This window comes from Homo sapiens, chromosome X (genome assembly GCF_000001405.40).
Source record: "Homo sapiens chromosome X, GRCh38.p14 Primary Assembly".
Taxonomy (NCBI): domain Eukaryota; kingdom Metazoa; phylum Chordata; class Mammalia; order Primates; family Hominidae; genus Homo; species Homo sapiens.
In genome coordinates, this window is record NC_000023.11 from 23,951,608 (window position 1) to 23,962,577 (window position 10,970).

The 10,970-nt window shown below is 40.2% G+C and overlaps 2 annotated features.

The window, feature by feature from the left end:
- Positions 986-1,524: an enhancer, noted in NCBI's record as "OCT4-NANOG-H3K27ac hESC enhancer chrX:23970710-23971248 (GRCh37/hg19 assembly coordinates)". NCBI's record gives its function as "activates a minimal SCP1, AML or CMV promoter by ChIP-STARR-seq in naive and primed H9 embryonic stem cells {active_cell/tissue: H9 hESC(naive and primed)}" and the evidence as "EXISTENCE:reporter gene assay evidence [ECO:0000049][PMID:30033119]".
- Positions 1,525-2,062: an enhancer, noted in NCBI's record as "OCT4-NANOG-H3K27ac hESC enhancer chrX:23971249-23971786 (GRCh37/hg19 assembly coordinates)". NCBI's record gives its function as "activates a minimal SCP1, AML or CMV promoter by ChIP-STARR-seq in primed H9 embryonic stem cells {active_cell/tissue: H9 hESC(primed)}" and the evidence as "EXISTENCE:reporter gene assay evidence [ECO:0000049][PMID:30033119]".

A 10,970-nucleotide genomic window follows, 5' to 3' on the forward strand; every position in this document is an offset into this window, starting at 1 on the left:
AAGTTGCAGTGAGCCAAGATCGTGCCACAGCACTCCAGCCTGGGTGACAAGAGTGAGACTCTCTCAAAAAAAATAAAAATAAAATAAAATGAAAAGGACACAGAATAATAAGATTCTATAACCTGATACTCTCTATCACTTTTTCCTATGGTGGACCAATAACACAGTCTCCCTAACCAATGCTAATTATTTGTAGAATAATATTGACAACTTGAAGAAATGTTGATTTGCTTGAAAGCAAACATCAAGGCTTCCTTTTCATAAACAGTATTTGGCTAAAGTATTTTAAGTGTGGCTTAAGTTACAATTGTTTTGTAGCTTATTTTCATAATGTACTGGTGAATGTATATACTGTTTATACAATTAATGAAGTTTTAGAAACATGAAAACTTACTTCACCTCTATTAAGTCTTTGTTTGTAAGTAAGGTGAGTTGCTCAGATTTCTGGACCAGGAAGATGTGAAAGAGTGAAGATCGTCCAAAGTCCAAAAATTTTCAACCCTGATCTATAAATTTACAGTATTATATTGGCTATGATTCATAGAAATCACATTAAGTTTAAAATATTCATGCATATTATTTTTTAAAGTTCTCCAAGAGTAAGTCATTTCCTTCTATATTTTTGGAAAAGTGAATATTCATTTCTCCCTGGTAATATTAAATTATGACAATCTTTAGCATTCAAATTAACCTGTCAAATTATATTCTTCAAAATTCTCCAACATTTGCAGAGCTATGAGAAACTTCTAAAAGGGAAAAATATCAAGATATGGTGGTTATGGACCAGAGTGAAAAAAATAAATACCAAAAATTATACAGTTCCATCATAGGCTATTAAGAAAGAATCAAATACAACCTAAGCATATTTTGGATCAATAATTATTACAGATTTCTATGAATAAAACACCTCCAGTGTTAAAAGACGTTGGATTAGCATTTCCGGAAATCTATGACTAATGCCATTATACTATCTGTCCCAGGGATTTTATTATTACATCATCTCTTGAGAAACTTTAAATATTAATCCATAGGTTATTCTCAGCATGCAACCCATTACCTTTTTTTCTCATTGAGGGTACCTTCTCATTTAGCACAAATAAATTAATGTAATTCTTTTAACATGCTAAAATAAATAGAATAAAATGACGATATTTAAGTTTGCATGAATTTAAAGTGGATAGAAATACTCTATGCAAAGACTGTACCTTGCCACTCTCCTTTTGTCTTCACAGATTATTTCTGAAGGCACAACCTCAAAGGAATATTTTTGAGAAACACACCCCCAGAAATATTCTATAATTTAAGTAATCTTGAAATAAATCACAACATTCACATTTTCCTGCTAAAATCATAGAAATCCTCCTTCGGAAGATAATTTCTCTCATGTGTTAAGGTAATTCTCCTACCCTGCTGTGACACATACTGTGTGTAAGTGGGCTGCCTTTATCCTCTCACCTTTACCACTTCCGAGCACACAGCTTGACTTCTAACTTACCAGCTCATGGACTTCTTTGTTTAGGGCATTCTCCTGTTGCTGGAGCCCACTGCCACTGGTGCTTATGCAAGCAGGCCGGAAGTGCCAGGGAATGAATGCCCCTCTGGTTGCTCTCACTCAATGCCTGAGAGAAGTTGATGTATAAATATCTCAGCTCTTTCTGCCCTGGGTGGAATAACCGAGGTGTATGTGTGTGTTTTGTACTGGTTCTCAGAATGTCCCCAGCACCAGTAAGTTCCAGGAACCCACAGCGGTAACTGACTTAGTAATACATCCTTTATTGGCTGCCTTGCCTTTCTTACTTCCCCGGTAACTTCCCCATTCTACTGTGGCGGTTTCTTTTTGGTTTGTTTTGGTTTTGCACCTTCTAAATAATTATTGTACTTAGAGTGGAATGCTTGCCTCAGGATAGGCTTCTGGGGAAAACCAGAAGACCCTGTTTCTGGTTCATTCTTTCCTCAACATTTGAATTCATTTGTCGTTTCTTGTTTTTATAGTGCAGTGAAGACAGAGAATGTCAACTTTGTTAGGAAATGGCTTTTCAGCTATTTCTGAACAGACTGCCTTCTTTGTACACTGTGTTAAGAATAGTCATTTTATTCCTTTTTTAATCCTCCAACGTATAGAAATCTACCATTGATTTTGGCTACCTGGAGAGAAAAAATGGGGTCTCTGTTGTCTTTATAGTCAAATCAAGGTTCCAGTCAGTACTGGGTGATTTCGAGGGTGTCTTTCAGTTTTAAAATTCTATGAGTTTTAGCACCAATTTTACAGAAACTATTCCAGAAAATTGAAGAGGAGGGAATATTTCCCAACTTGTATTATGAGAAGGTTAAGAATGGTGAAGACTGAATGTCTATAGTATAATTAACAGTAATTTACCAATATCAGTTTCCTGGTTTTGATATACTATGGCTATATAAGATCTCACCACTGGGGGAAACTGCGGGAAGGGCACATGGGGCACTTTGGACTATTTTTGCAACTTCGTATAAGTCTATAGTTATTTCAAAGTAAAATTTTTTTTTTTCGGAGACGGAGTCTCGCCCAGGCTGGAGCGCAGTGGCACGATCTCGGCTCACTGCAACCTCCACCTCCCAGGTTCAAGCACTTCTGCCTCAGCCTCCTGAGTAGCTGGGATGTGCCGCCACGCCCGGCTAATTTTTTGTATTTTAGTAGAGATGGGGTTTCACGGTGTTGCCCAGGCTGGTCTCAAACTCCTGAGCTCAGGCAATCCGCCTGCCTCAGCCTCCCAAAGTACTAGGATTACAGGCATGAGCCACCGCACCGGGCCTCAAAGTAAATTTTTTTTAAAATTCTGAGTTTATGTGATCATAACAGGAGAGGGAAAAGGCACGATAGGTATTGGTTTTAGATTCTTGGCTGCTGTCACTTTACAGGTGATAAAAGTATATAGACTGATAAGAGGTGCCCAAGGGCGATAAAACTATTAAGGCCTGCCTGGGGCTAGAATAGTTACTTCTAGTCTACTGGTTTTTTTCACCACATCACAGTGCCTCATTATCATTCCTGCAAAGGAATGGGAGTGGGATGGGGAGGAAAAGAGGCCTGGCCCACGTACTTTGCTATCCTTTTTGATCTCGCCTCACTTGGCACACTAATAAGACTGAAGCAGGTATACTTACAGGACAAACTGTATTCTTGCCCAGTGAGCCTTTCCCCAACTCACTAACGTGGGCAAAGCTCTCTAATTAGAGAAAAATATATTTAACTCAAAATTAGAAATGGTGTTCTTTAAAATATAATGTCCTAGGACAGTAAGCACGTTAGTGTGAGTTAAAATGTGAATTACACATCATTATAAAACAGTATTCTTGAAGCTTAAAGGAGAATATTTTGTTCTTCCTATTGGGGTGGAAATACTCTCACAGGGCACAACCTTTTCTGCCTTTTCTACTGTTCTTTGTGTTTCTACCTGCTTTTCTGTCTGTATTTTGCCACTATTGGGGGTACATAAAGGTTCATCAACTATGTATTATATAATTATAAAATATCCATCTTTGTCTTATCAAATGTTTGCTGCCATGAATTCTGCTTTGCCTATTATTAAAATTTGCACAACTCTTTCTTTTTCATCAGAATTTGTTTGGTATAGCTTTGCCCAATTTTTTTTATTTTTAGACGGAGTCTTGCTCCGTCGCCCAGGCTGGAGTGCAATGGTGCGATCTCGGCTCACTGCAACCTCTGCCTCCCAGGTTCAAGCAATTCTCCTGCCTCAGCCTCCCAAGTAGCTAGGATTACAGGCTCCTGCCACGATGCCCGGCTAATTTTTGTATTTTTAGTAGAGACGGAGTTTCACCATGTTGGCCAGCCTGGTCTCAAACTCCTGACCTCAGGTGATCCACCTGCCTCGGCCTTCCAAAGTGCTGGGATTACAGGCGTGAGCCACCGTGCCCAGCCCCAAATTTTATTTTTAACATGTGCTTGTCATTTGTGTCTTTGATAAACAGCATATAGCTGTGTTTTTATTTCCTCAATATGAAAGTCTTTTGTCTTTTAAAGAAGAAATTTAACCTATTATGTTTACTGTGACAACTTACTTTTGGTCTTATTTATATTATTTTGTGCTTGCTGCTTCCTGTGTGTTCTTTTTTTTTTGCGGGTGATGGGCGGGGGTTGTTTTTTGAGACAGGGTCTTGTTCTGTTGCCCAGGCTGGAGTGCAGTGGCGCAATCACAGCTCACTGAAGCCCTGATCTCCCAGGCTCCAGTGATCCTCCCACCTCAGCCTCCAAAGTAACACCACCATGCCCAGCTAATTTTTTTGATATTTTGTAAAGCCAAGGTCTTGCTATGTTGCCCAGGCTGGTCTTGAACTCCTGAGCTCAAGCTATCCTTCTGCCTCGGCCTCCCAAAGTGCTGGGATTACAGGCATGAGCCATTGCACCTGGCCCCTATGTGTTCTTGGTGTTTCACTTTTTTCCTTTTCTGACTTTTGCTAGGATTATTCAGTTTCCATTGATCTCTATTTTTCCTCTAGGATTTGTAAGACTTGTATATTATTTGTATTCTGCTGTTATTTTCCTTAATTTCTAATTTTAATTCCATATTTGAAACTATTTACTATTTAAATTAATCACGAGAAGTAAAAATTATCTACATCCACCCCCCCAATGCCCATCAAGAAATTTAACACACTTTAACCCTACCCATATATCAAATATGTTGTTGAAATATCTGTGTTTTAATTTTTTTTTTTTTTTTTTTTTGAGACGGAGTCTCGCTCTTTCGCCCAGGCTGGAGTGCAGTGGCGCGATCTCGGCTCACTGCAAGCTCCGCCTCCCGGGTTCACACCATTCTTCTGCCTCAGCCTCCCAAGTAGCTGGGACTACAGGCGCCCGCCACCACGCCCAGCTAATTTTTCATATATTTTAGTAGAGACGGGGTTTCACCATGTTAGCAAGGATGGTCTCGGTCTCCTGACCTCGTGATACGCCCGCCTCGGCCTCCCAAAGTCCTAGGATTCCAGGCTTGAGCCACCGTGCCCAGCGAGTTTTAATTTTTATATCTTACTTTTTTTCCAAAATTGCTTTTTATCACAATCATATTAAACGGTATGTATATTTATTGCTTTTGTTGGATTCATTGCTTACCAATGTTTCTCATATCTAGAGCTTCATTCTGATTATTTCTTATGGCATTATGTTATTGCTTCCAATTATCTTTTTAGAAAGGGACATGACTCCTGAAATGTCTGAAAATGTTTGCCTTTACACATGAAAAATAGCTGGATCAGGGCGGGGCGTGGTGACTCACGCCTGTAATCCCAGCACTTTGGGAGGCCGAGGTGGGCGGATCACTTGAGCTCAGGAGTTCGAGACCAGCCTGGCCAATATGATGAAACCCCGTCTCTACTAAAAATACAAAAATTAGCCGGCTGTGATGGCAGGAGCCTGTAACCCCAGCTACTCTGGAGGCTGAAACAGGAGAATCGCTTGAACCCGGGAGGCAGAGGTTGCAGTGAGCCGAGATTGTGCCACTGCATTCCAGCCTAGGGCAACAGAGTGAGCCTTGGTCTCAAAAAAAAAAAAAAAAAAAAAAAAAAAAAGGCCAGGCGCAGTGGCTCACGCCTGAAATCCCAGCACTTTGGGAGGCCGAGGTGGGCAGATCACGAGTTCAGGAGATCAAGACCATCCTGGCTAACACAGTGAAACCCTGTCTCTACTAAAACTGCAAAAAATTAGGCGGGCATGGGTGGCACGCGCCTGTAGTCCCAGCTACTCGGGAGGGTGAGGCAGAAGAATTGCTTGAACACAGGGGCGGAGGTTGCAGTGAGCCAAGATCACACCACTGCACTCCAGCCTGGGCAACAGAGCAAGACTCCGTCTTAAAAAAAAAAAAAAAGCTGGATCAGGGGCTAAACTACAGTCACATTTCTTTTCTGACAGAACTCCATTTTTTCTACCATTTGGCTCCAGACTTGAAGTTCCACACTAGCGAAATTAATAATATTTAATAGTATTTTGGTCAGACTGAGATAAGAGATCAACAATGATAATGAACAAAGCAGTATGGTAGTTATTTTAAATGTAATGTTTTCTTATCTTTCATTTATTTCCTTCCTGCCTTTACTAAAACACTCCACATTTCAGCCAAATGTTGAAGTGTATTGATTGAAGAAGCTGAATTATGCAAGTAAAAATAATAATAATTTTCAAAAAGGAAAAAATAATTTAATCCTTTAATCCCTGTTTTTCTGTTTCTGATAATTGATAAATGGTGAGTGCCTAGTCAAGTGCGACTATGGATATCATCTTCCCTTGGAAAATTGGGCCAGGGAAAAATATTCTCAATGCAATGTGAAAATTATAAAATAATTTTTCAAAGTTAACTGCTTTGTTAAGGTAGAATTGACATACAGTATATTATGCATATTGCATGAGGACAATTTGATAAGTTTTGACATATGAAACCATCACCACAGTCAAGATGATGATCCCCATACGTTTTCTCATGCCTCTTTAGTCCCTCTCTTCTGTCTTTCCCAGCCCCCATCTCCAAGTGACCACTCATCTTTCTGTCAGTATAGTTTGCATTTTTGAGAGTTCTATGTAAGTGGAATCAACTAGCATATGCTTTTTTGGCAGGGGGGCCTGGCTTCTTTCATTCAATATAATTATTTTGAGACCCATCTATATCGTTGCATGTATCAAAAGTTCATCTAGGTTGCATTCCATTGTTTCAATATACCACAATTTGTTTATCCATTCACCTGTCAATGGACATTTGGGTTATTTCCAGTTTTTGACTATTGCAAATAAAACTATTTTGAGCATTTATGAGCAGTCTTTGTGTGGATGTAGACTTTCATTTCTCTTGATATTGTCAATCTTTTATATTTTAGCCATTCTAGTAGGTATGAAGTAGTATCTCACTGTGGTTTAATATTCATTTCCTTAATGACTAAGGATGATAAGCATCTTTTCATACGCTTATTTCCCATTTGTATATTTTATTTGGTGAAGTGTCTTTAAATATTTTGCACGTTTTTTTGGCTGAGTTGTTTGTGTTATTAATGACTTTTGAGAATTCTATATGTATTCTGCTTACAATTCCTTTATCAGAGATACGTTTTGCAAATATTTTTCTCCCAATGTGTTTTTTTTTCTTCCTTTTCTCAATAATGTTTTTTCAAAAAGCAGCAGTTCTTAGTTTTGGTGAAGTCCAACTTATCAGTTTTTTACAAATTGTCCTTTCAGTGTCAGAAATAAGAAGTCTTTGTCTAACCAGATCAAAAAGATTTTCCTCTGTGTCTTCTTCTAAAAGTTTTATTGTTTTAAATTTTATATTTAGGTTCATAATCCATTTTTAGTTCTGTTTTGTACATAATGTGAGGTATGCAAGAAGGTCCTTTGGCTTGCCTGTGATGTTCAGTGGCTCCAGCAACATTTGTTGAAGAGATTATCTTTTTAAAAATTGCCTTCTTGGGCCTGGCACGGTGGCTCATGCCTGTAATCCCAGCACTTTGGGAGGCAGAGGCAGGCGGATCACCTGAGGTTGGGGGTTCGAGACCAGCCTGACCAACATAGAGAAACCCCATCTCTACTAAAAATACAAAATTAGCCGAGCATGGTAGCACATGCCTGTAATCCCAGCTACTCAGGAAGCTGAGGCAGGAGAATCACTTGAACCCAGGAGGCAGAGGTTGCGGTGAGCCAAGATTGCGCCACTGCACTCCAGCCTGGGCAGCAAGAAACTCCGTCTCAAAAAAAAAAAAAAATTGCCTTTGCATTCTTGCCAAAAAATCAATTGACCATGTATGTGTGGGTCTATGTCTGGACTCTGTTCCAGATCTATGGGTCTGTCCTTTTGCCAGTACCACACTGTCTTAATTACTCTAGTTTTATAGTACATCTTGAAATCACGTACTGTGAGTTCTCTAACTTTGCTCTTCTTTTTCAAAATTGTTTTGACTATTCTAGTTCCTTTGCTTTATCATGTAAATTTTAAAGCCACCTTGACAATTTCTACAAAAAAATCTCTCTGGGATTTTGGTTAGGGTTGCATTGAATCTATTAATCAATTTGGGATGAATCAACATTGTATTATCTATCACTGCATTACCAATTAGCCCAAAATTTAGCAGCCTACAACATCAAATATTTATTATCTCACAGATCCTGTGCGTCAGGAATCTGGGTGCAGCTTAGCTCAGTGCCTCTGTCTCAAGGTTTCTCACAAGGTTGCAAGCAATCAAGTTGTCAGCCAGGGCTGAGATGAAGGCTCAACTGGGGGAGGTTCTGCTTCCAAACTCACTCATGTGGTTGTTGGCAAGATTCAGTTCCTTGCTGACTATTGGCTGAAGGCCTCCCTCAGTTCCTTGACTTGTGGGCCTCTCTGTAAAGCACCTCACTACATGGCAGCTAGCTTTCCTCAGAACAAGAGTGTGAAAGAGTGCTCAAGGCAAAAGCCATAGACTCTTTGCAACCTAATCGAGGAAGTGACATTTCATCATTTTTGCCTATTCCGTTCGTTACAAGTGCATGACTAGGTCCAGGCCACCCTTATGGGGAGAGGATTACACAAGGGCATGAATATCAGAAGGCAGGGATCACTGGGGACCATTTTAAAGGCTGCCTGCCGCAGACATCTTAACAGTGAGTCTTCCACTTTAGGAGCACAATATATCATTTATTTAGGTCTTCTTTGATTTTTTCATTGATGTTTTGTAGTTTTCCGTGCACACACCTTGCACATATTTTATAGGAATTATGCCTAAAGATTTCATATTTCTGGTGCTACTGTAAATGGCACTGCTTTAAAATTTCAATTTCGAATTGTTTATTGCGAGTATACAAAAATACAATTGATTTGTATATTGGCTTTATATCCTGTGACCTTGATTAGCCCACTTACTGGTTTGAGTAGCTTTTTTTGTAGACTCTTTGGGTTTTTCTACATAGACTGGTTGTTAATAGAAATGGTTTTGTTTCTTCTTTTCTGATTTGTATGCCCTTTGTTTCATTTTCTTGCCTATTTTACTGGCTAGGACTTCCAATACAATGTTGAATATTGATCACTTGTTTTTTTTTTTTTTTGAGATGGAGTCTCACTGTCACCCAGGCTGGAGTGCGGTGCCGCGATCTCAGCTCACTGCAACCTCTGCCTCCCAGGTTCAAGTGATTCTCCTGCCTCAGCCTCTTGAGTAGCTAGGATTACAAGCACCCGCCACCACAGCTGGCTAATTTTTGTATTTTTAGTAGAGACGGGGTTTTGCCATGTTGGCCAGGCTGGTCTTGAACTCCTTACCTCAGGTGATCTGCCTGCCTTGGCCTCACAAAGTCTTGGGATTACGGGCATGAGCCACCATGCCTGGCAATGATCACTATTCTTTCATCCCAGAGGTTCCAGCTAGAATCATGTTTATCCTTTTGGGATATATTATTTCTTTCTTTCTTTTTTTTTTTTTTTTGAGTCAGAGTTTTGCTGTTGTTGCCCAGGCTGGAGTGCAATGGCATGATCTCAGCTCACCGCAACCTCTGCCTCCCAGTTTCAAGCGATTCTCCTGCCTCAGCCTCCCGAGTAGCTGGGATTACAGGCATGCACCACCACGCCTGGCTAATTTTATATTTTTAGTAGAGATGGGGTTTCTCCATGTTGGTCAGGCTGGTCTCGAACTCCCAACCTCAGGTGAGCTGCCCATCTCGGCCTCCCAAAGTGCTGGGATTACAGGCTTGAGCCACCAGGCCTGGCGTTTTTTTTGTTTGTTTGTTTGTTTGTTTGTTTGTTTCGATACAGAGTTTTGCTCTTGTTGCCCAGGTTAGAGTGCAATGGTGTGATCTCAGCTCACTGCAACCTCTGCCTCCCAGGTCCAGGCGATTCTCCTGTCTCAGCCTCCCAAGTAGCTGGGATTACAGGTGCGTGCCACCATGCCTGGCTAATTTTTTGTAGTTTTAGTAGAGACGGGGTTTCACCATGTTGGCCAGGCTGGTCTCGAACTCCTGACCTCAGGTGATCCACCTGCCTTGGCCTCCCAAAGTTCTGGGATTACAGGCGTGAGCCACCACGCCTGGCCTGGATATATTCTTTAAAAGTTATTTTAATGATGTCTGTTTATGGTTGAAAATATCTTTATTATACCCTCATTCATAAAAGTTTATTTGCCGGGTGTAAAATTCCAGGTTGACAGTTATTTCTCTTGCCACTTCAAAGGACCTATTTCATTGTGTTACAGCTACCATTATTGGAATGTCTTCTTGTCTTTGATATTCTGACATTTTATTACTATGTGTCTAAGTGTAAATTTATTTTTAATTATCCTGCTTGGAATTTCTTGGGTTTCTGCATCTGAAAATGGGTGTCTTTCACAATTTCTTTTTTCTGTTTTTTTTTTTTTTTGAGACAGGGTCTCAGTCTGTCACCCAGGTTGGAGTGCGGTAGCACAATCATAGCTCACTGCAGCCTCAACCTCCCTGGGTTCAGGTGATCCTCCCACCTCAGCCTCTGGAGTAGCTGGGACTACAGGCAGGTGCCACCATGCCCTGCTAATTTTTCTATTTTTGTAGAGACAGGGTTTTGCCATGTTGCCCAGCTGGTCTTGAGCTCCTGGACTCTTCCTGCCTTGGCCTCCCAAAGTGCTGGGATTACAGGTGTGAGCCACCGTGCCTGGCCCATAATTTCTGAAACATTATCTTTTTAATATTACCTTGTCCTCTATTATCTTTCTTCCTTCCTTCTGAAACTCTAGTTGTTACATATATTGGACCTTCTCACACTATGCTCCATTTCTCTTAACCCCTAATTAATATTTTTTATAATTCTGTCTTTTTTGTCCTATATTGATAATTTATTTACATCTATCTTCTAATTCTCTTATTTTCTCTTCAGTTCTATCTGCTGTTTATATCATCTTTTGAATTTCTAATTTAAATTTTTTTTTTTAGGGACAGAGTCTTGCTGTGTCACCCAGTCTGCAGTGCAGTGATGCACTCTCGTCTCACTGCAACCTCTGCCTCC